This window comes from Homo sapiens, chromosome 1, assembly GCF_000001405.40.
Source record: "Homo sapiens chromosome 1, GRCh38.p14 Primary Assembly".
NCBI lineage: Eukaryota > Metazoa > Chordata > Mammalia > Primates > Hominidae > Homo > Homo sapiens.
The window spans coordinates 192,636,115-192,661,973 of NC_000001.11; the positions used below are offsets into that span (position 1 = coordinate 192,636,115).

The 25,859-nt window shown below is 35.8% G+C and overlaps 1 protein-coding gene across 2 annotated transcripts; it reads left to right on the forward strand.

Annotated features, from left to right (window-relative positions):
- The first annotated feature begins 32 nt into the window (after window positions 1-32).
- RGS13 (regulator of G protein signaling 13) lies at window positions 33-24,197 on the forward strand. 2 transcript variants are annotated; one of them, NM_002927.5, is made up of 7 exons: window positions 33-203; window positions 1,476-1,546; window positions 2,050-2,089; window positions 8,217-8,285; window positions 11,812-11,873; window positions 22,087-22,253; window positions 23,224-24,197. In NM_002927.5, the coding sequence occupies exons 4-7, from the start codon at window positions 8,221-8,223 to the stop codon at window positions 23,407-23,409; spliced, it is 480 nt and encodes a 159-aa protein (NP_002918.1). In that variant the 5' UTR covers window positions 33-203; window positions 1,476-1,546; window positions 2,050-2,089; window positions 8,217-8,220; the 3' UTR covers window positions 23,410-24,197. The 2 variants fall into 2 exon arrangements, with proteins under 2 accessions (NP_002918.1, NP_658912.1); NM_144766.3 differs by lacking the exon at window positions 2,050-2,089.
- The last annotated feature ends 1,662 nt before the right edge of the window (window positions 24,198-25,859 follow it).

Here is a 25,859-nt window from a genome sequence, read left to right on the forward strand (position 1 = left end):
CATAGATACGTGTGTGTAAAAACAGAACATTCATACTGAGGCCAGAGTGCCATCGAAGGTAATTATAGAGACAGTAAAATCCTTTTACTCTGGGAAAAATAAAATGCTGGGTGTCTCACAAAATTTCAGAACCTGATTTCAAACGGATCATAACAAAGAGGAGATCAAATTTAGCATGGTGGACTGCTCGACAGGATATATTTGTAAGTATGAGATTCTATAAAATAGTTGATAAATACAAGACTATTGGCTTGCTATAAATCACTAGCAGATGCTGATTTCAATGGTAGAACTTCTGGGAGTGTTAACAGAGGTTTTTCTAAGAAAAAAAGACAAACTAACAAACACATATTCTTTTGCCTGGCTTTCTATATTTAAAACAAAACTTAGAGTCACTCCTTATATAAATAAATCTTCTAAGTTGGGCAACAGAGGAAATGCTACAGTTTTAAAGTATATTATTTCATTTTATGTTTTTGTGTATATTTTCATTTTAAATGTTTTTCATTTTATATGTTTAGATAAAAACATATTATAAAATCAGACATAGCTGAATTATTTGTTTCAAAAATCATGCATTACCAAATTATTAGTTCCATCCTTTGTTAACTGTACTGAAGCCAGGTGTGGATTATTATAAGGTTTATCTGAAACATTGTTAATCTTGATTTTGTAGAATTTTTTTATTCTTTTATGTTATGCTTAAGCACAACTATGCACAAATTTCTTGAATTTTTTAAAGGACAAGAAATTTGTGTGCTGTGGTCAACAAAAGCTCACTAAAATATAAATTGCTCCAAATTTTACTAAATTTTATGTAACATGCTATATCATAAAATAAAGAAACATATTTAAATGCAGATATATGTAAACAGACAGAATTGCTTTAAGAAAATTTATTTATTTTCATAATACTTTAAGATTTCATTTAAATAATGGAGGAAACAAATCTAATTCTGGCATACTACTAATACAACTCAATCCATTACCAATGCATTTATAATCACTCTGAGAATTAGATTCTATCGGTGAAATGTATTTCTTTCAAATAATTATCAGGAGAAAACAGTGGAGGCAAAATCATCGTGGAGACCTAAACTTGTTCTAAACACTCTATGTTTCGATTGTAAAAGTACACACTAGTTTTACCAAGAGGGTATTGAAAAACAAAAAAGGAAAGCAAATTAATACACAATATTAAGATAAATATAGATTATTTAAATAAAAAGTAATGGAAAATTACAAATTAAAACAGTAAAGAAATTTTTATAATAAGCCATGATATTAACACAATTTTAGATAAAGAGTTAATAAATAAAAATGGGAATAACCATAATCCAGCATTTCCGAGGTGGAAAAAGTATTTACTTAAAACTTAAGAGCATTTACAGTAATCTTTGCCAAATATGCATTCTCCAGGAAGCACACAATAATCTTTTTGTTTTTGTTTGGTTTTGTTATTATTTTATTTTTAGGTCAATGGAATGTTTCCACATATTATACCACCAACATGAGAAAAAAATGATCATTGTTTATTTGAAGCTTGGTGAGTTTATCCACAATTTAAATCAGTTCTACGTCATGCCAATTTAGATCACTGTTTCACTGGGAATTCTCTTTTTGCCAAAGTAGATTTGTAGTTCTATAAAATATTTAAAGTTATTTTTTATTTTTATCCATATTGACTACTTGAACTCTAATTTTAAGGGTACAACTAAAGATGCCCTTGGTTGGATTTAACTAACAAAATAAATTTATCAATAGGATGTTTTAATCAAATCCTTATCCTAAAGAACTTTACTTTTGTAAAAAATTAGAACATTCCCTTTATGGAATTACCAAGGATATTTCTTAGAAGTTCTCAATTGTAAATGTGAGAGGATTTCATTCTGCCACTCTATATTGGTGCTATTAAACTGTCGATTGAGATGTATTATTTAATGATAAATATTGTTGAATGTAGGATTGTAGATACTTCTTTTTAAACCAATGGTTATTTTGCAAATTCTTTGTCCTCAGACTGTGAATTATATTTTCTTATTTTATCAGATGATATTCTAACGCTGCCTTTTCTCTTCTCATTTTAGAGGTATGAGAATTTTAATTTCTACTTCTGAGCATCTGCCTTCCATCTTCCAAAATTACTTTGGAATATTTTGTCATTATTTTTCCCCTTGGTTAATCTCCTTTTTCCTTCAGTTTAAGCCGTACATGTTCCTTTACTATAATATTATTAGTGTTTGGGTTGGAAGAGATAATAAACTCAGGTGGTCAATCTGACCTTTTGTACCTGAAGCTGGGTTAAGTATTTTTTAATTTATCTCTTTGTTTCAATGTAGAGAGTGTTATAAGGATGGGGGTGGGGGGTTCTGTGATATTCCAACAAAATAGTGGTACATGGTACGTGTGAATCCAGTAGTAATCAATAGAGAGAAACACAAACATGTGGATGGACTTTCAGTCCCAGAAATCTTAGAATACAGGCGGGAAGGCACCAGGCTCCAGGCACAGGAGCAGAACTCTAGTCACTGGAACAGCGTCCAGTCTCCAGTTCCATTTCCTAAAGGACAGGAATACCAGAGAACTTCTTATAGTCTATTTATTCTATGCATAACAACTCTTAGGGTCTATTTATTCTATGCATAACACATGTCATACACAATTCTGTCACTAAATATTTTCTGCAATTTAATCATTGATGCTTTTATGACATTATATTCTATTTGTATTCCATAATTTAATAAATCTGTAAATGTTTGACTTAGAATGCTAACCAACATATAAACAACTACTTATATGTAATCATCAAATAACATTCGAATGTAACAATTTAGGAAACTTAAAGTCTAGTAGGAGTAGATAAATCAGAAATATAAATAACATTATATCTATATATATTGCTTCTTTTTCAATGTCACCTAACTAATAAGTTGCTTGGACCAAAGAACCCTCACTGAATCAGTCATGTAGCTGAGCACAGGGCTACTATTAGTGTACACAGAGTCTTTGCTGGAATTATTAAAAAGTAGCCTTTTCACCACATGGATGAAGCCCCACTTGGCTTCACACCTGGCAAGGGGAGTGTGGTTGGATCTCAGCCTTGTCTCTCCTTTTGGACCAGGCATCTCCATAGAGAGAACAACCTGAATAATTGCATTTAAAGGGAAGCTGTGGCTGGGCTGTCCTCTTGTCCCTTTTTTCTGTAACACTCAACCATGCCTGAGCTCTTCTGGCAGCCCCAACCATCTGGGTGATACACACACCCAGATGTCTGTAAATCTCTGTTGTAGACCCAACTAATTCTAAAGCTGGGACTCAGTGATTAATATAATGTGTGAACAATCGAAATATAGAAACATGGGAACAACAAAAATGAAGAGAAGGAGGATTTGCAGATTATATGTTGACATGTTGAAGAATGAATAAAGTTAATGGGGAAAACTTGTGAGATCTGAGATGAAATTTAAAAAGAGGAAGAAATGCGGTCTAACAGAATATATGTTTCCTGGTACATACAAAAGAACTTAGGAACTATTTCATTTTTCTAATCTTTACAGTTCCATTTTAGAGAAAAGGAAAAGGAAATGAGAATCTGAGGTTTAATTAATATGCGCAAGGTCACACAGCTAATAAGAGCCTGACCTCGAGCATATGTCTGTCTGGCTTCAGGCCCCAGAACTATTTGAATATACTCTGTCAACTTGCAGGAGCTGTGGGAAGCCCCTAAATTCTAGTGCATCCAGAAATTACTTTACCTTCACTATACTTCAGACCTTAGTGAGTGTTGCATACTAAGACCATTCTGCTTTTGCCAATTTCATTAAATTTATAAAAGAAAATATGATAACCCATTAATAGACACACATTTGAGTTACAGAAATCACCACAATAAAAGGTCTGAAAATGTGTACACATAGCTCCAATAGATCAAGTGAGAAGACAGTGGGACAGAAAAACTATTGCTAAAAATAGAGGGTAGGGGAGAAGTCAAGTCTCAGTACAAGATAGGGAAGACTAATAATATTCACAGAGAAGACATGTGAAGGAAGTAAATTTTTTCCTATCCTCCTACTTAGAAGATAAGCTGCGAGTCATTGTGTAACTACATTTTATAGGTGATCACAGAGATGAGGAATCTTGAAACTCGAACTAAGTAGCTTGAAATTTGAACTAATGCAGTTCAAGGTCCAATTACACACAGGACCAGCTATTGACAGTCAATGTAACAGTTTTTTAGTCTCAATTAATTTCAGTGTTCATTTTCAGTCAGATTTTTCTTTCTAGAAAAAGGTTTTTATTTTCATCACACTGCTGTTTAAAGACCTCAGTGGATTACTTCTACTAACAAAATAAAGTCTAACATCTTCAGTCTGGTATTTAAGGTCATCTAGAACCTAACTATGCACACAAACATATCCCTTTAATAAACTCTCCCTTTTGCTTAAGTATTGTGAATCTCTATTTGCAATCGGAAGAGTCCTAATAAGTGAATTAATCTATTCCCCTTCCATTTTCTTCCTTCCTATAGATATAAATAACTTTATTGCTTCTTGGTCCTCCTCACTTATAGTAGAGACTTACATAGAAAATGAAGTTGATCAGACCACATTTCTCATATGTTCTTATCTCCAAACCTGCAAATGAACTTGAATCTATACCTATATTTTCACTAGTTACAAGAGAATAGTAACTATTTCCTGTATTTTCACTTCTCCAATGTCTTAACTCCTACATTCTGAATTCTAGCCCCTCCTTCTTCTTCAGGAACCTGAAATTCTATTGGTTTTCCTTCTTTCTTCTGTGTTTTCAAACTCTGTCTATGTACCTTTTGCCAACTTTAGAGTATGTCACTCACATTGTAACTTGACTTTATTGTAACGATGCCTCCTAGAGAGACATGCAGGCCAGAATCATCAAATGACAAGAATCTGTCTCTCTGTCATTATTACGTCTTTCTATCAACAGCTTTCAAGGAAGAAAGAGAAAAAGAGAGAGAAAGAGAGAAAGAAGGAAAGATGGAAGGAAGGAAAGAAAGAAAGAGGAAAGAAAGAGAGAGAAAGAAAGAAAAGAAAGAAAAAAAAGAAAAAAGGAAAGAAAGAAAGAAAGAGAGAAAGAAAGAAAGAAAGAAAGAAAAGAAAGAAAAGAAAGAAAGAAAGAAAGAAAGAAAGAAAGAAAGAAAGAAAGAAAGAAAGAAAAGAAAGAAAGGAGGGAGGGAGGAAGGAAGGAGAGAAAGAAAGAGAGAGAGAGGGGAAAAGGGAGGGAGGAAGGGAAAGAGGAAAGCAGGGAGGAAGGAGGAGAGGGAAGGAGGGCAAACAGAAATTACAAGCAGGCTTTCATTTGTCCTGGGCCTCATTTTCTCTTGCTTTCCTCCTTGTTTCTGTCCTCCCTGCTCCACTGAAACCACTCTCAGCAATGTCATTAATGAGCATCTTGTGAACACATCTGACATTTTTTGATCCTTTGCTCTCTTAATCACTTCCCAGCTTTTAACACTCCATTGGCCACTCTTTCCTTTTTGATAAACTCATTCCTTGGTTTCTGTGATACTGTGTTATTCTGATGCAAGCTCCTTTTACACAGCCTTTCTCTTAAATATTTGTGTTCAGAAACTCATATTGGGCTGTCTGCTTTTTACAGTTCACACCGTCTTCCTGGACGATCTCGTCATTTTTTTTGTTAGAGGGGGCTCCTCTTATGTGTTTTATGAAAATAGCCCACCTTTATCCTGAAGCCAAATCTCTCACCTCAACTTGTTCTCTTCTGTCTCACCTTACATATCCAATGGGTCAACAAGTTCTAATAGTTCTTCCTCCAAAACGTCTACAATCTCTCTCCTTCCCTCCATCTCCACTGCCACCTTCCTAATCATCCCTCACCTGAACTCCTGCAGTCACACCCTAACTGGGCTCCCTGATGACACTCTGGCCACACTGCCATTCATTCTACTCACAAACCCATTTCAAATCTTAACATGTCTATTCTGAATTTTAAATCCTGCAATGATTTCCCAGCTTCTTACTGTGAAATCCATGGCCTGTGTGGCTCAACGTGCTCGGCCTCTGCCTAGCATTACAAATTCTCCCACCACTTTCTTGCTGCAGTGAACATTTTTAAACATGATTATTGGTTCAATCTTAACTCTCTAAGCCTCTCAGCTCACTGTCTCATTCTGTCTGCCACACTCTAAATTCATGTGGAACATAATTCCTTTTTTTTTTTTTTTTTGAGATAAGGTCTTTCTTTGTCACCCAGACTGGAGTGCAATGGTGTGATCACGGCACACTGCAGCCTCAACCCCCTGGGCTCAAGTGATCCTCCCACCTCAGCCTCCTGAGTATCTGGGACTACAAGTGCACACCACTATGCCCAGCTAATTTTTTTTTTCTTTTTGTTGGAGAGACAGGGTCTCTCTATGCTGCCCAGGTTGGTCTCAAACTCCTGGGCTCAAGAGAGCCTCCTGCCTCAGTCTTGCAAAGTGTTGGGATTATAGGCCTGAGCCACAGTGCTGAGCCTAAATTCCTTTTATTTCCTCAATGGGACATAACTCATTGCCTCTTAATCTTTGCTCAAGTTGCCCCTCCTTCACTCAGCACACTCGTGGATATCCTGCTGGTTCCAGCTCAGATGTTACTTAACTGGGCTGCCTTCACTAACCCCTCAAGTCTAGTTAGGTTCTCCTCCTAGGTGTATTCACAACCCCTGTACTTCCTGTATCCAAGTCCCCATCACATTTCGGGATTTTTTGTTTTTGTTTTTTGTTTTTGAGATAGGGTCTCACTCTGTTGCCCCAGCTACAGCACAGTGGTGCAATTACAGCTTGCTACAGCCTCCATCTCCTGGGCTCAAGTGATTGTCCCACTACAGCATCCCAAGTAGTTGGGACTACAGGCATGAGTCAACATGACCAGCTAATTTTTTTTATTTTTTGTAGAGACAGAATCTTACCGTGTTGCCCAGGCTAGTCTAGAACTCCTGGGCTCAAGCAATCCTCCCCGCTTCAGCCTCCCAAATTGCTGAGATTACAGGTATCAGCCACTGTGCCCAGCCCATCACATGTATTTTAATTGCTTGTCAGTGAGGACAGAAGAGGACAGACAAGATGTATATTGATCACAGGCAGCCAGAACTTGGCACATAACAAGTATTCAAAAGACTTTTGAATGAATCGTAAAGACTGATATAAAAATTCACTGTTTATCCTTAATAATTCATTATATATGTATGTATATATGTTTAACAAACCATTTCCAGCTTTAAAATGTGGATTTAATGACTCTTAACAAATTTGTTAGTTGTTTTTTTAAAGTCCTGAGTTAAAAACCTTCTATGATATGTATTGTTATGTAAAGGTGCCTGAGATGAATAAACTCTAACTGAATTTTAAAGTCAAAGTTACTGTGCCCAGAGTAGATAAAACCAGATAAGCAGCACCCTTAAAATTCACTCAGAAGGTGCTTTATTTTTTATTTGGCTATTTACACTATTTTACTTGTCCAGTTAAAATAAGGCTCTTTTTTAATACATTGAGAGAGCTTTCTAAACACAAGAATTGTGGCTGGGCACAGTGGCTCATGCCTACAGTCCCAGCAGTTCGGAAAGCTGAGGTTGGCAGGTTGTTTGGGCCCAGGAGTTTGAGACCAACCTGGGCAATGTGGTGAAACCCCTTCTCTACCAAAAATACACAAAAATTAGCCAGTCATGGTGGCGCATGCCTGTAGTCCCAGCTACTCCAGAGGTTGAGGTGGGAGGGTCACCTAAGACTGGGGATGTCAAGGCTGCAGTGAGCCATGATCATGCCACTGCACTCCAGGCTGGGTGACAGGGTGAGACCCTGTCTCAAAAAAATAAAAATAAAAATAAGAATTGTCCCAAAAGGGAAGCCTTGGGAGTTGGTAAATTCGTTATCGGTAAGTTCTAAATGAAAAGATCTTTTTCAGAGATTTGGTATTTTTTGAACCTCATTGTTTAATAAATAGGCCAGTTGAGTAAAGTCATTTACAAATCTAAGCACGTATATTTTTATAAAATATTTATGAGAGATGAGTCATTTTATTCTCCTCTCTCCTCCCAACTCCCCCAGTGACTGTATTCCATTAACTTCAAGAGCCCATCTTTTTTTTTATGATTTATAATATTGTATGTTCCTTAGAAACTGACTGTAACATACAATTATTTTAAATGATTAAATTATACAAATATATACTGTATTTCCTTAGAAAAATGAGCAGGCGGAATTGTTGGATTTGTAAGATGTGCAGAGATGAATCTAAGAGGCCCCCTTCAAAGTAAGTAGCATTTAAGTTTCTATGGTAATTGTAAAGCATATTTATCAGATGATAAATAGGTACATATTTATTAAACTGCTATTGTAACATATTTTGTTCAGAAAGTAAAATTTGCATTTACACGTGAGTCATTTCATCAGAAGAGCAGTCATATGTTACTAAGATTCTTGTTTTCATTATTCATGGTTTACACTTGAGAATTCAGCAAGTTAAATGCTTTAGAATCTATTATGAATAGTCTCTGTTCTTTTTAAAAAACAAAGAATATTGTTTGTGTTAAAATGAGATTCTTCAATCCAAAATATTTTCTTGGTTCCAACCCTCCACATACGAAGTGCCAGAAAGCTTCATCCCTAGATAAAGAAGGTGAGACTGGAGGAGGAATCAAATGTTAACCAAGCTCCCAAGTCTCTTCCTCCACACTTTTCTATAACTCAAAATGTTGCCATTTGGATGAGAACAGTGAAAAGAATAATGCCTGAGAAAAGTAACAGACCATTGCATTGGATTTCCTCACCTGAAAGAATTCCCAAAAGTTGAGAACCCCTGTTAGATTAACCATGAGTGCCTAACATAGTCCATGTCCAGCCCTCAGTTCTGGCCACACCTTTTTGTATGGTCAGAGCCCCTGGCATGAATGCTCTTTCACTAAAATACCAAAATGTCCAAAAAGGCTTACAAGCTACTGTGTGGCAAGGAGAAGGATGCTGCAATGGTGGTCAGAGGAGATAGTAAGACCCAAAGCTCAGCATTTTAAATGACAGTGAATGCTACTGCACTGCACAGGTGCATCCAAGGACAAAGGTATAATCTGCTAATTAAGGGACAGCTCTCCTTTCTTCGAATGATTCCCATAGAGGATCACTGTCAGAGCTCGCCTTTCTTCTATCTGCCTTATAGACTCACCATGAGAAAAGGGGAAGACCAGAAAAATTAAAAATCACATTCATGGAAAGCTGCCAGATAACAGTTATTTAATAGGTACTTGGCATTCATGACCTAATTTAATTTTCATTATAACATTGTGCGATAGACGTTATTATCCCTATTATATAGACAATAAAATTGGGGTTTGAAGATTTTAAGTAAGACCAAGGACAATTAAGTACAGCACTGGGATTAGAACCTAGGACTGTCAGAGACTCCAAACATTCTTCATTCTTTTGTCTGCAACATCATGGTATCTTAAAATGCTTTCATATCCGTTTGGTATCCACTGCCCATCCGCCCAGAAGAATGGAGGGGACACAAGGGAGAACTTGTATCAGGAAAAAAGGTATTTCAAATAATCCTAATAAAGGCACCTGGATAGCCATGGGCCAGCATTAAACTTGTGAGAACCTCCAAAAAAAATTATAAGCAAAAATGGGGTTCAATTAAAAACAAATTGTATTTCCCATTTTTACCCCCAACCGTAATTACTCCAATCATCTCTCCCCATAAATCTCATGAGTCTTAGAGACAAAAGAACTCTCTTACCAACAATCATCGACACTTAATTTTAAGCTAACCCAACACATTGATGACTCTTCACTCGTGTTGTAGATTTTATTCTTCCCTATATAATGGGAATGATTAGAACGGACAGGCATTCAATAAACCTTGCCTAGCTCTTTCCATTTCACCAGATTGAAAAGGTTATTTTAGGTTACTTTTTCTAAAGTTTTAACAAGAGAAAAGAACAATGACTCAGATACTATTTCATGGAAATGTTTTTTGAAAGCAATCTTAACACAGTACACTGTTAAGCCTCAGTACTGATGCAAGCAGTCCATCCAAAACTGGCAGGATCCGTCTGAATTTTTAGAAAACAAAAGATATCTGACCTTTTAAGGACTCCCAATATTTTTCCATGTTCTCGGATATTTTTTAATCTCTTTAACTAATCCTCCTTCATTGTGTTAAGAACCTGCTAATGCTGATGGCTGTTCCTGCAGCACTAATTTTTAGGCTGCTAATTTTAGGTATAGCCAATGGACAGTGCTTGCGTGTCTATAGCCATCTTCAATTATCTAGTTGTTGAAAGCAGAACAATTAAGAATGCACCATAAACTGAATGGCAATAAACACATTGCCTATTTCTGTTTTATTTCCAACCTTTATTCTAAGTTCATGGGTACATGCGCAGGATGTGCAGGTTTGTTACATAGGTAAATGTCTGCCATGATGGTTTGCTGCACAGATCATCCTATCACCTAGGTAGTAAGCCCAGCATCCAATAGCTATTATTCCTGATGCTCTCCCTCCTCCCACGCCCCCACCCTACAACAGGCCCCAGTGTGTGTTGTTCTCCCCAATGTGTCCATATGTTCTCATCATTCAGTTCCCACTTATAAGTGAGAACAGGCAGTATTTGATTTTCTGTTCCTGCATTAGTTTGCTGAGGATATGGGCTTCCAGCTCCATTCATGTCCCTGCAAAGGACATGATATTGTTTCTTTTTATGGCTGCATAGTATTCCATGGTGTATAAAGTTACTTGTATTTGAGAATACAGTCATTTGCCAATTCACCTCATGAAGCTCACCAAAATGAACAGAGTTCTGGAATCTTTCACAACTATTTTCTAAATGGTAAATGGCTTTGTTTATACCGTTTAGGTAAAATGTAACTTGACATAATACACCTTAATAAAAATTAAAACTGATACAAAAAAATTCTAGCAAGTAGGAGACTGAGAAAATACTAGCTTTAGGGTTACTAACTGTATTACATGAGTGCATGCAAATAGGTTTTGTGGATTAACTCTAAGATTCTAATAGATAAATAGGTAAACACTTGGCTGGTGGCAGCGGCAAACAGTGCATAACCCTTTTAAAAGCAATTTGGCAGTCTGTACCAAAAACCTTAAAAATCTGCCTCTTTTAACCAACTTTGATTCTACTGCTAGTGCCCTGGAATTACTCTAATCATGTGGCCATGGCAAGCCTTAAACACAGCTGGGCTACATTTGAGTTTTTATGGTGAAAAATGAGAGAAAATCAATATGCTGTTTGACAATAATTATGTAAACTATGGAATGCCCCCCTTGTAGCATATTTCACCATCACCATAAACAATATGACTATCAATGATTATACATTTGTAATTATAAATTATAACACTACAAATGATTAATACAATTATGATGACATAAAATGCATAAAGTATAAACACACATAGTGTGATTACTTCTTGATTAAAAACACACAAATACAAACATAACAAAAAGACTTTAAAAAACTACATCAAAATACTAATAGTGGTAATTTATTAATAGGGAGATTATAGGACTATGGTTCTGAATAATATTTATTAAATTATATTTTCAAGTCTACACTATTTGCACAATTTTTATAATTTAAAAAATTTAAATAGTAAAAATAAAATGTAAAATATCACAGGAAAATAACTTTCCAACCAAAGCCACACACAAATGGAATGTAAATATATTTTGGTGTCATTTTCAAGATAATATAATTTTACTTAGTTCAACAAAAACCTTGAGAATATTTAGCCCAATCAGTGCTTTTTGTTTCTTTTCAAAGCCTTACTTTGGAGGAAGTATTACAGTGGGCCCAGTCTTTTGAAAATTTAATGGCTACAAAATGTGAGTATTGCGTATCTGTCATCTTTGAATAACTAGCGAGTTCCATTCTTAGAGGTAAAGGTGGGGGTGCCAGATGATGAATGTATGCTATTCTTCTCACAGCCTTCTAACTGGCAACTGACACAGTTAAAAAAAGAAAACCTGAAAATAGTTTGTTATGTCAACCACTATTATTTTCTCTGGTGTTAATTAAAACAAGATTAGTCACTGTGAATATTCTTCACAAGTATATGCACAAAATCCCTTGGAAAATATGCTTAAGTAGTAACGCATACCATAGCCTTCTAAAGTTAGTATTAAACAAAAACACTTAACTCGCTGTTCTTGCTGCCTTCAAAAGTAAGAATAAATTTGAGTCTTGCTGTTCTAAAACTCCTCCCCAAAGTTTGTTTCAACTTTTTCAGTGTCTGATTTAAGTGGGACTATACATGGGTCTGAATATAGTTGTAGGTAAGTATCGACATTAACATGGTACAAATAAGAGATACCAGCAATGGATGTGACAGAGACAAAGTCATGGGCTCAGTGCAGGAAAAATAAAGGAGGACGTGCATTCAAAAGAATAGTCAATTGCGTTTGGGGTCAGAAAAGCTGGTCCGTTGTAGAAAATGATAAAACCAGAAGACAGGTACAGAAAAAAAATGTAGGGTGTAGACACAGAAAATTCTCTTGTTGAATTTGGTAGTTTTTTTTAAATGGAGTTGGTTCCCCTCAATGCTTGTTAATTTTTGCCTATAGAACCATCTTTTTATTTAAGATCCCATTTTAGCCTCTCTGTGAATGTTTTATCTGTTTAGAGCTATGGACTATGAAGGAGAGTTGGCTGTGCTACTTACATGCTTTAACTAGTGGGGTGTACCAGTGGCTATTCTGGGCAAGGTACCCCCTGTTCCTCATGGGGGTTGTCATAGTCCTGAGGCACTACCTGCTCTTTCTGACTCAAGACCCTCTTTAGTATGGACTCAGTTGTCACTGCCCAGCCCAGAGGGTAATGGCAGTAGGTGTAGACACTTGGCTACTCCTGCTGAAACACGTTAATCAACCATTCTGGCGCTTACTTCTGCTTCATCCCTAGGGCTGGATCTACCTCTACAGGCTTGGGTCACCACCTGAGCTCTCATATTTTGTAGCATGCCTTTCCAATGGGCATTTGGGGCCATAGTTTCTTTCTTTGATGCAATCGCCACTGGCTTTCACTTTTCAGGTATTCCTCATAGTTTATAATCCAATTTGCCAGCATGAATGTGAATTTTAAACAAATATATCTTCTGGGTCAGTGTTAGAACATTGAAATGTGATGAAGAGACAAAAGTGCATATTCAGTTAACTATATTGTAAATTTTTGTCCCAATCCTCTGTAATACACATTTTGCCACCTTGCTAGATTGATCTCTTTCTTGGAGTTTCATACTCTTCATCTACAAAATGGGAATAGTATCACTTATCCTTTCAGGTTTATTGTGCAGGTGAGATACAAAACATCTAGCTCAATGCCTAATATAGATTAAGCACACAATAATTGGTAGTTTCTTTTAATAGTAATAAAGTACATGTCTTTGAATATCATTCTTTTTTCTCTGCTGCCTACCAACAAGTCCAAAATCTTGGTATTTAGTACTCTCTACACCCTAACCCAAAACATTTTCTAAAATTTGTCTCTAGCTATGACCTGTCACATAACATGCCCTCCACCAATGTGGGTCACTTCATTTTCTACTTGTACATCTATGATTCTTCTCCTCCAGGCTTTTGTTCAAAGTCCTTTTCATCTCTAGTTACTCTGCTCATGTTTGAAAGTCAAATTCAAGTGCCACTTTCTCCAGAAAACTGCTTAGTAATTTCTCCTTTATCTTCTATTTTGTTAGTATTAACATTTATTCTGCTTTTAATTGTAGCCAGTTTGTGTATTGGGTTTTTTATATAGTGGCTTTCTCCCTAGATTATAAATTCCTTAAGAGCACAGCTTGCCTCTCATTTACCTTTCAAACCCCTGAGAGACTGAAAATGTGCTTTGTACCCAATGAGCATGCAATAAATGTTCCATGAATAAACACAAGAAAAATATTAGTGAGAAAAGTTCAAAACACCAAGCTATATTATGTAAGTTTCTGTGCCAGTCCTGGAAGCCTTATTAAAAAAATGAATAGGCTTAATTATTTGGCAAGGATTTCAAGTGGTCATCTGCCTTGCTAGAATCAGCAATTTAGAATTCTAGTGTCATGAGAATAAGCAAAGGCTCTAGCAAAGATGAGAATAGGAAAACATCATACTGCTCTTTATAAAAGCCAGCAAAAATAGGGTAAGAGCCTTTCCAGAAATCATATTACTATGAAGTTCACATAAAAATTCAACAATCACATAATAAGTAATAAAACGAATCATTCTATGGATGATCCAACCAGTAAGACAAAACTAAAAATACAAATATTAAATGTGCCAGAGAATAAAAATGTGTTTACATTAACCAAGGACATTAGTCAAATGCATGCTGTAGCTGAGATATGCAGATGCATATTTTACATAGATTAAAACATTATTTCTAAGGACAGTAGCTCAGACACACACATGAAAAAGAAATATATCAGCCTGGGTCTCAATAGATGAACCGAAATTGGTTTAGAGACGTTTTAGGGAGCCATTAAGTCATAGTCATCAAAATACAATTAAATTCAACATCTCAGTGGGAAAAGGGGATCCAAGAAAACCATCAGTTTGAGAACAGAAGTATGGCAAAATCCAAAAGTTAATTAGAAATTAAGAATGTTAGCAACTTAGATACCTTTTAGATAATGCTATTTAATGCTACATTATTTGCAAATAATTTTTTACATATGAAAGATTTTTTTTATATATTTAAATATCAAAGATTTTCTTGTTATTTATATGAAACATAATGTAACCAAATAGAACTAAAGTAGAGAGACTAGCTAGAAGGCTGCTACAATAATTCAGATAAAATTGGAACTCAGTAGGGAAGACAAGGCTGGGGGTAATTTGCATATAGATGCTAACAAAAGTCACAGGGCTGTGAGACCACTGAGAGGGAGAGTTCAGATAGAGGAAAACACACCCAGAGATGAAACTTAGGTGTGTGCTACTTCCAAGTCCAGGTAACCAGAGAGGTCAGCAAAGTGGATGGAAAAGGAGCACAAAGTGAGGTAAGAATGACGAAAATAGTGCATTCTTGTGGAAGCCAAAGAAGAGAGTGTTTCAGGAAGGAAGCTGTGAATTGTCAAAGACTGCTGAGAAGTCAGCTGAGGTGAGGAAGGAACAGTGACCACTAGACATGGCAATATGGAAGTCAACAGTGCCTCAACAAGAGCAGTTTCATGGGTATGGTGGAGATAGGTAAAACCAGAGGAAGCAATACACAGCATAAGGAATCACTGACATAAGTTTTGCTGTGGAGTTCTGCAGAGAAAAAAGCAGAGACTGGAAGCGGGAATGAGGTCAATACCGAAAGTTTGAGTCAATAGTTGTTACTAGTTATATTTGGGAAATACAGCAATATATTTGTAGGATGATGGCAACAATTCATGGGGAAGAAACTGATGACACAGAAGAGAGTGGAGATACTTATAAGAAAAATAGAGGAATGCAAAGTAGGAATGCAAAGTAGGAAGAAGCAAAAGTAGGAGGGAACCAGAAAAAAAATTGTTTGGCCATCCCAAAAAGGAACAGGGACACTTGCCCCTCAGGAGAGAAGTTATAAAGGAGGAATACAGATGGAAGTACTCTGGTTATTTCTGGAGAGAAGACGGTGAATATCCGTCTGATTAATCTGTGCTCTCAGTGAAGTTTGAGGCAAGGTCGCCAGTAGATTGCTTAGGAGAGGATGTTTTAGTATGTTTTAACATAACAACGGAGGAGGTATAAAATAGTTTCTGCAGATTTAGAGAACCATGATACTATGGAAGGCTCATTGGTTGACTGGGCAGTGTTGAGTGTCTGTTTAAAATCTGAAGTTATGATTTCAAATGCGAGACCACAGTTGTATATTTTTCTCTGGCTTGTTCAGGTTGCCCCAGCACACACGCAGAGCAGATATTAAGCCATTCCGGATAAGCAAGTGCTCTGAATCACAGAGTTTGCTTCAATCTTTTGATCAAAATCATCTTTGAATGTACTATTTTCCACCCTTTCTAAATTACCACAATCCCATGCAGACCACCTTAGAAATGCCAGTTAAACAGTGTGGGATTGACATACTGCTGAAGGCAATGAAGGCCGCTCCATATCATGAACCATCTGTGTGGGCTGGTGCATCTTCCTCAGCATCATGGCACAGAGCAGGCAGTAGAAGTTACTGATGGTTATTGTTGCTCCCTTTTGTACATCCTGATCCCAGAGTCATTCTCTCAGCTTTTTTCATCTGTGCAAGCTCCTTTGCTGCACAGTGTGATTGGCAGTTTCCTACACTATCACTTATTCTAATCTCTGCTAACTACTGCTGTTGCCATGGCTCCCTTCATCAACCCTTATATTACCTGCACTGCCTTCCTCTACCCTTTCCACTTAGCACTTTTTGTCTTTTTTAACTTCTCATGCACTTCTTCACCTTGCAAAGGGGGAAAAAAACCTCGCCTAGAATAGACATCACTGTCCAATTAGTACATTTTTTTTTTGGTATTGCTTTCAGAAAACCAAAAAGCAATAGCATTTCAGATATAAACCTGTCGTCTTTAGTGCTTCCTAGATGTTCAATAACTAAGGTCTGCTTCTTCACTTTTCAAGAGCCACAGAGAGTCATTTTAAAACAGAAACATGAGGGATCCAAAAGCCCAAATTGACATGTGTTTATTCAGTGCCTGCTATATAGCAAGCAGTGTTGAGGCACGGGGTACATGAAGATGAATAAGCTGCAGTCCTGATTCTCCAAGGGTTCTCAGGTGAATGGGAGGATAATGGAAGGAAACCACAGCAAAGAGGGGTGGCCTTTATCACTTGGGCAATGGGAAATGTTGAGGGGGATAAATAATAGATTTTTGCTTTAAAGATTTTTCTCTAATAAAAGTACAGAGGAAATTGAAAGCAGGATCAGATAGATGAATCAAGGCTTCTTCAGATTCAGTGGTTTACAAATATACCTCAAAATTCATAAACAAAAATAATACGTAAAAGAGAACAGAAGGTAACGCAATAAAGGTAACAGAGATAGTGTCTTCAGTATATAAAGAGATCTGAAAAATTTAAGAAAACACTAGCAATGCAAAGAAAAAACAGACAAAAGATTTGGAATTCACGGGAAAAAAAGAAATGGTCAGTAAAAATGCAAAACTGTTTAAGCATTATATTTTAAAAATACATATTTAAACAACTACAAGTTACTGACTTCACCCCATTAGATTGGAGAGCGTGGAGTAAGTCAGCACTGACACTGCCATTGGGAATGAAAAATAATGAAATCCTTCTGAAAGCAATTTTACAATATGTATCAAGAGTCTCCAAAAATATTACATCTTCAATCTAAAAATTCTATTTTAAATCAATTATTTTCCCTAAGAAAATAGAGGTGAAAAAGTTTATAAGCCAAAATATTCAATGTAGGATAACTTATAACCAAGAAAAGGGGAAACAACCTAAAACAATAATAATAGAGTGGCTAAATATGTTATGGCCTACCCCATCAACAGACTATTATATGATCATTAAAAATGAAAAAGAGAAAGTGTTCCCTATGTGCTATTAACTATGAAAGAATAAGAATGATACAAAATTGCTTTCATATTATAATGCCCATAGGATCATTCCAGTGTGTATCTGTGTTTGTGTAGATGAATGAATTCTAGTTAGGTAGGCAATTATTCATGAACAAAGGATTAAAAGAATAAAAGGAAATATACCAAATTGTTAACAGTAGTTATTAATTTACTAGAAGTTTTCTGCATTAAAAACGACCCACAGAATTGAACAACGAGAACAGTTGGACACAGGAAGGGGAACATCACACACTGGGGCCTGTCATGGGGTGGGGGGAGCGGGGAGGGATAGCATTAGGAGATATACCTAATGTAAATGACGAGTTAATGGGTGCAGCACACCAACATGGCGCATGTATACATATGTAACAAACCTGCACATTGTGCACATGTACCCTAGAACTTAAAGTATAATAAAAAATATACATTATATATATATTTTTGCTATTAAAATTAAGTATTTCTCAATAATTTTTATTAAAGTTTAATTAAAAAATGAAATTATTGATCCACAGAGGACTGATTCCATAGATATGGAACTCAAGGATTCAGAGGGCTGACTGTATGCCATTATGGAATATTTTCCTCTGAAGACAACAATATATTTACACATTTTATTTTCAGCCATAAATAACAAATATTAAATAGGAAATTTAAAAAATACATTAAAATAAAGGACCATAAATTTGAAAAAAAGACCCACAACTCTTTAAGCTGTGTTTATAATATTAGTAATATTAATATTAATAACAAAGGTAGAAGAAAAATCAGAAATTATTAACAGCATAGAAGCCACAACAGAGAATTTTAATAAAACTGAAGCTTCACTGTAAAACTCCACACATACTATGGTAGAATTATGAAGTACATTATCCCCAGTGGTACAGATTGAAAATAAAATGGATTTTAAATTGGTTTAGAGGCATTTCTAATGGTACTGCAACGTAGTGCACCCTTGGGATTTCCTGCCTGGTGTAAGCCTTGCAGTCTTACAGAAAAAATAATTCTGGAATAGATGGGCCACTGTTCTGACTCAGCCATGAGAAAGCCCACATTTCCCTTCTGCATCAAGAACACTGGCATGTGTCACCTTGTGTGTCATAGAAATACTAATTTTAGTGACTAGTTTTAAAAGAACAGGCTAGAGATTCCCAAAGGCACCACTCTCACTTTTTAAGGGAAAAGTATACACTATGTATGACATAAGCCATTTCTTCCATCCTCCCAATTTAAATGAGCAATTCTGATGTTTATCATCTTATTCACTCTGTTCAAGCAGAATCGCAGTCTTCTGAGCATAATGTTCAGGAATGAGTATCATTTAAAACTTCAGAACAGCCTACATTGCCTGATTTAGAAAAGGCTTTTCCACCTTGTAATTCACTTGTGGTATGAATCAATCGAAATTCTAAAGAGAGCAATTCAGTTCTGACTTTAATAATTACTAAGATTCCTGGAACACTTTTACACAAATGCATTTTCAGCCGCTAGCTTGAGTAACTTGCAGCATATTCAGACAAAAGTTAGCCTGATGCAGACAGAATTCTGTAAAGTATGCCAATCACATGAGTCCGCTCATTCTGCACGCTAGAATTATATCTGAAATATATAGCGAAATCCAGTTCAGCTTTCGCTAGTCATCACATGGTAACAAGTGACATAAAATCCTAGTGATTTACATTAATAAAGGTTCACTTCTTTTTCATGATACACAACAGCTAGGGTCAGCTCCAGCTCTATTCCATGTCTTCATTCCAGCCTTCGGGCTAAAGGAGCAGCTCTTTTCTAGAATATGCTCTTCTTGTGGTGGCTGTGGGACATAGGAAATAGAACCACATGATAGTTCTTAAACCCTCTGCTTGAACGTGTCCATAGCACTTTTGCATGTATTTCATTGACTAACACAAGTTCAATGGCCAATGCTGACATAAACAGGACATGGAAGTATAATCCCCCTACACAAAGGTCAGGAAATAACTGAGGAACAATACGACAATCTGCCACATCAAGTATCTGAAATATACCATATTTTTAATAGTATATATAGAATACTGTATATCTATGCAGTATATATAGAATACCATATATCCATGCAGTATATATAGAATAATACAACTGGATCTATAATATGTGTATTTATGTGTGGAGAGATAGATAGATGGAAACAGATCGTGAAGACAGAAAAAAAGATAGATGATAGACAGACAGATAGATAGACAAATAGATAAGGCAATGTATATATGGCTTCATTAGCAAAGGACTTTGGTATGACAAGAATTGTAGAACCATTTGGCCAGCCCAAAAAAGAAACAGGGATACTTCTTCCAATCCATCAGGAAGAAAGTTAAAGAAGCCAGATACAGATACAGTTGGTTCTAAAATGATAACCTATAAACATTTTACTACATAATTAAGCTAAACATAAACACAAATTCAGAATACTAGCTTAGAATCTAATATTAGTTTCCAGATCATTTTCCTACCCCTACCTACTCATCCACTCAACCCATCCAAGTAGCCTGTGTGACAGACTCTCATTCCATGAGCCATAGATTTTTATCTGCTATCTCATTTTCTTTCTGTTCCATAGCTAAGTACAAACCATATAAATATTGGCTTCCAACTTTACTTGTTAAGCCAGAAACAGCTTAACATTCTGTTTTTTTTTTTTTATTTGTTCATTTGTTTGTTTGTTTTTTGGTTTGCCACCATTCAGCTGTCTCTTTAGGAACTGGAGTACCAATTCCTGCATCTGTGTTCTCTGTTCCAACCTTTCTGTGCCTATGGTGAGACAAGACACAACTTAGAGTCACGTCGGTGTGAAAATCAACTTCTTGTTTAAAATCTAAGTTAAAATATATCCCCCTCACATTGGATAGGAATATCTAATCTATATCATTTTCTATGTTACATTTATATAATGCCTCTATCTCAACTGTCCTCTTAACTCATCTCATGTTATGTCCTTGTTGAACCGTATCCCATGCAGTGTCCTGAAGGCTGCATTTGCTCACGTGATAATAATAGTCCATGTTTCAATTTTGAGTATTCCTAGGATGCAATATTTACATTCGGTTTCCCCAACTCCAATGCCTCCTTAGAAGAGATCTACTTCTATTTGAGTTCTTTTGCTTGAAGACAAAATACTTCGTTATCTTTGTTCCTATATCACTGCTAACAAAGCCAAGCTATCAAGGAGCCTGGCTTTCTAGTGCTGGAAAACTTGATCTGATCTCTTAGATGAAGATCCAGGAAAATATGATCTTACTCATCATTTCCATTCCATCTGGCTACCATTATTTCTCATAATAGTAAATGATATTGACCAAGATAGTGTTAATCAAAATCCTACGCTTTTGGAGGTGATAGATATGTTTATGGCATTGATTGTGGTGATGGTTTCTTGGGTGTATACTTATCTCCAAATTCATCAAGTTGTATTAAATTATGTACATCTTTTTGTAAACAAAATATCCTAACAGTCTCTAGGTGGTTATTACTCAGTGTGCCTACACAAACATTTCTTTTAACATCAATTGAAAGTTACATTGTTGTTTTATCATATAGCAATCCAATTCCTTGGATATGCGAAGAGAATTTCTAGTCTAGTCTAGTCAAAAAAAAATTAATATCTTGAACCTTGAGAATACTTGGTCCTCCCAAAGATTCCAATTAATATGTTAGATTTGTGAGAGCTCACCTAATCCTCTTTTTCAAATATTACTACCTACAAAGTAATGTCTCAATTGGAAAAGCTCCTCCTTGGCTTATCCTTATCTAAGCACTCCAGAAAGGCAGTTTAAGATCAGAGTTGAAGATAAGAATCTCCGGCATCAAGTGTTATGTGATGGTTACGCTGCACATAATCCCTGTCCTGTACTAGATTCTGAGATAGTTTCCAGCATCGCGTCTGATTTTTCATTCCTTGTCTGGTCCCTTATTTCTGGCTTGAACCATAAACCATGAATATGAAGTTGAATTCTTCATCTATCTGTGTTCTGCTCTGATTAGACATTGAGAAACACTCCAGGGTGTACAAACTAATTAGAGTATCACTCTTACATGGCTTGGATATTTTTCTCCTGACCTTGACCTACAAGTTTACATTCAAAACCCTGCTCTTACCCTACAGTTTGGCATGAGGTCTTAGATTTTTCGTGTCAGCTTCATGATTAGAGCCCCCGTCCTCCTGAGCAGCTTAAGTCCTTTTCCTGGGCTCTGTGATGTCTCCTGTCCTATCTGTCCTAGACTCATCCACACTGGTGGGCATTTTGCTCTGAGTGACTCAGAATAAATGGATGACATCATCAGTGATCAGCATTGTCAAAGCACGCTTCAGATGTTCGCTCTAAGTGTGTGATAGACATGAAAATTGATATATAGAGATAGATATAAAATATTTACTTGTTAAATAATTTGTGAGTTTTTAATCAGGCTTTTTTTTAACTGTATTGCTTAGATTTTTTTGGTGATTTTGACCCATGAAAATAAACTGATTTCTCCTCTACTTTTAGATGGTCCAGTAGTCTATGCAGCATATTTAAAAATGGAGCACAGTGACGAGAATATTCAATTCTGGATGGCATGTGAAACCTATAAGAAAATTGCCTCACGGTGGAGCAGAATTTCTAGGGCAAAGAAGCTTTATAAGATTTACATCCAGCCACAGTCCCCTAGAGAGGTAACTACCTGACAATGACAGGAATGGAAATCAGTTCATCCCTGCAAGGGCATTAATATCTGTCAAGCATCCATAAGTGCCAGGCACTTTACATCCAGTATCTCCTAAAATGCTATAAATTCAGTATTGCTAACCTTATTTTACAGATAAGAAACCTGAGACTCTGAGAACTTGTCCAGTGTCACACAGCCATTAAGTGGTAAAGTTAAGATTCAAAATTAAATCTATCTGGCTCCAAAGCTTCTCCCCATTAAATTATCTTGATTTCTAGGAAACTTAAAAAGAAAAAAAGGAGTCTGTGGCGAAAGCATTGGCCTTCCCAGCAGGAACTATAAATATCATGAAGAGACATTTGAGAATCCTGTGTTGTTGGGCAATGAGAAATAAAAAGTCTGTTAAGGGAATAAAGACAGAGGACAGTATATGAGATTTCTATCGTACAGGGCAAGCCTACATTGTGGACATATTCTAGAACTCTTGTCTGGAAAATACTTGGTTTATTGAAATAGCCACTTCTCCCCTCTATTTATCCACTTCTCTTCATTTTCTTCCCATTTCAGAGCATATTCAGTTAAATCAACATTTGTGACTATTAAGGGAGATAAATTTTTAAAAAGCACCAATTTCTCTTTTCTTTAAAAAGACATTTGTCTTACAAACTTCCTGATTTGTAGACTGCTACTAAGAAACCACTGCATCTTCCTGAGTAAGCCATGGTTTTGGAAACTTCCCTGGCCTTGAGCCTCATATTTTTCTTTTTTGTTCCTCTTGGATGTGGAGTTGGATATTTACTTTTAAAAGAGCAAAATGTTTATTTTTTATATATCTTCTTAGATGCCTATAAAACTACAAAGAAAATTACCCTATTCCACTGAAAAGGAGAGCAGAGAATAAATTAAACCTTTCTACTATATGTGCCTTTTTTTCAACTATGCTAACTTAATGCTGTACATGTAATTTCACTTTTCAGATTAACATTGACAGTTCGACAAGAGAGACTATCATCAGGAACATTCAGGAACCCACTGAAACATGTTTTGAAGAAGCTCAGAAAATAGTCTATATGCATATGGAAAGGGATTCCTACCCCAGATTTCTAAAGTCAGAAATGTACCAAAAACTTTTGAAAACTATGCAGTCCAACAACAGTTTCTGACTACAACTCAAAAGTTTAAATAGAAAACAGTATATTGAAAGTGGTGGGTTTGATCTTTTTATTTAGAAACCCACAAAATCAGAAACACAGTACAAATAAAACAGAAATCAAACTATAAGTTGACTTTTAGTTCCTAAAAAGAAACATATTTCAAAAGCAATGGAATCTAGAATTCTTATAACATGAATAACAAAATGTACAGCAAGCCTATGTAGTTCAATTAATATATAAGGAAAAGGAAGGTCTTTCTTCATGATACAAGCATTATAAAGTTTTTACTGTAGTAGTCAATTAATGGATATTTCCTTGTTAATAAAATTTTGTGTCATAATTTACAAATTAGTTCTTTAAAAATTGTTGTTATATGAATTGTGTTTCTAGCATGAATGTTCTATAGAGTACTCTAAATAACTTGAATTTATAGACAAATGCTACTCACAGTACAATCAATTGTATTATACCATGAGAAAATCAAAAAGGTGTTCTTCAGAGACATTTTATCTATAAAATTTTCCTACTATTATGTTCATTAACAAACTTCTTTATCACATGTATCTTCTACATGTAAAACATTTCTGATGATTTTTTAACAAAAAATATATGAATTTCTTCATTTGCTCTTGCATCTACATTGCTATAAGGATATAAAATGTGGTTTCTATATTTTGAGATGTTTTTTCCTTACAATGTGAACTCATCGTGATCTTGGAAATCAATAAAGTCAAATATCAACTAAAGACTTACATTATCTTTCTCAAAGACAAAATAAATATATTTTCCAGTACAAATTTCAAAAGGGCCAAAGTTGGTATACAGTGAGAATATATAATATTTTTATTTTCCATAGTTTTCCTGGAAAGTGGAGACAACTTAACACATTCATTGGATATTACCTTCCTATCATTTCAAAATATTAAAAGAATCCAGATTCGACATCCATAATCAGAAGCTCATCGTAACATTTACAAGTGTGAAAGTTGATCTGTTCCATTTTGTAATTAAAAGGGAACAAATTAGAAATTTCAAGTCTTGTATTCCTGAAGGAAGAAAACATTCAAAAATGATTTTTCCCTCTTGGAATTATTTTAAAATATGCATATTTTCTCTTAGTTTTGAAAAGTGGCTTAAAATAGACTTATTTTACCCTTCTGCAGATGCAAAGTTTTTCTGTCTTTCTAGTGATTCACTAATTGGTTTACTACTGAATTATTTATTCCATGAGTCATTACATTTTATTGTTACCAAGAAGTGTAAATTTAGTTAGAGTCAGATGCTTCTGTAGTTCATGAAATCACAGGCGTTTTTCCGTAGCGCTGTCCACTTTTAAAAGATGAGCAATGTGAGTAACTACACAGCCAATCTTAGCACAGGTGCTAAGAAGGGCTAAGTCACTAAACCACCTTGCCTCCAGCTCTGAAACCAAAAAAGCCTAGTAAAAAAATAAAATTTTTTTTAAAAAAGTGAATAAACAAAGAAGCATTGCTGATACGATTTAAATACACTTCAGTTCTGCACAGTGGAAACAATACTGAATTCATTGTTAAGAAAGTTGGGTTTCAGTTCTAGATTTCCCAGGTTAACTATATAAATTTCTTTAGGTCTAGGTAAACTATAGAAAATTATACAAATTACTTATTGTCCCTGCTTCTCAGTTTTCTCACCTTTTAAATGAGGTCATTAAAATAGATAATACCTTAGTTCCTTTCCAGCTTCAAAATCCTGACTACCGTCAGTACTTTTTTTTCTTCTTCTTCTTTTTTTTTTTTTTTTTTGAGACAGACTCTTGCTCTGTCACCAAACTGGAGTGCAGTGGCAAGATCTTGGCTCACTGCAACCTCCACCTCCCAGGTTCAAGCGATTCTCCTGCCTCAGCCTCCCAAGTACCTGGGACTATGGGTGCGTGCCACCATGCCCAGCTAATTTTCCTATTTTTAGTAGAGACAGGGTTTCACCATGTTGGCCAGGATGGTCTCGATCTCTTGACCTCATGATCTGCCCACCTCAGCCTCCCAAAGTGCTGGGATTACAGGCGTGAGCCACCGCACCCGGCCAGAAAGTACTTTTAAATTACTGAGTTCTTCATTATCTGAAGGGTTTTGTGTGATATTCCATTGCCTTTCCTCTGATTTCATAAATGTAATACAATGCCACATATTCAAAACAGAATTTTGCCACAAAAACACTCTTCTAAGATCATGTCTTCAGATGTTTGTAAATCAGGAACTATCTCTGGCCTTCCCACTTGCTCCCTTAACTTAGGCCTTCCCACACCATTCACTGCTGAAGCTGGTGTTCTAGCTCCAAGAAAAGCCCTCAGAGATTGTAGAAACCAGTATGGAGGTTCCTCAAAAAATCAAACTACCATATGATCCAGTAATCCCATTTTTTCATATTTATTCAAAGGAATTGAAAACAAGATCTCAAAAAGATATCTATACCCCCATATTCAC

Bases quoted from the DNA above. Each gene is read 5' to 3' on its own strand.
- RGS13 (NM_002927.5), top strand. From the start codon at position 8,221: ATGAGCAGGCGGAATTGTTGGATTTGTAAGATGTGCAGAGATGAATCT. The intron at 8,286-11,811 runs GTAAGTAGCATT...TTCTTTTCAAAG, and splicing joins TCTAAGAGGCCCCCTTCAAA to CCTTACTTTGGAGGAAGTAT. The intron at 11,874-22,086 runs GTGAGTATTGCG...CTCTACTTTTAG, and splicing joins AAATTTAATGGCTACAAAAT to ATGGTCCAGTAGTCTATGCA.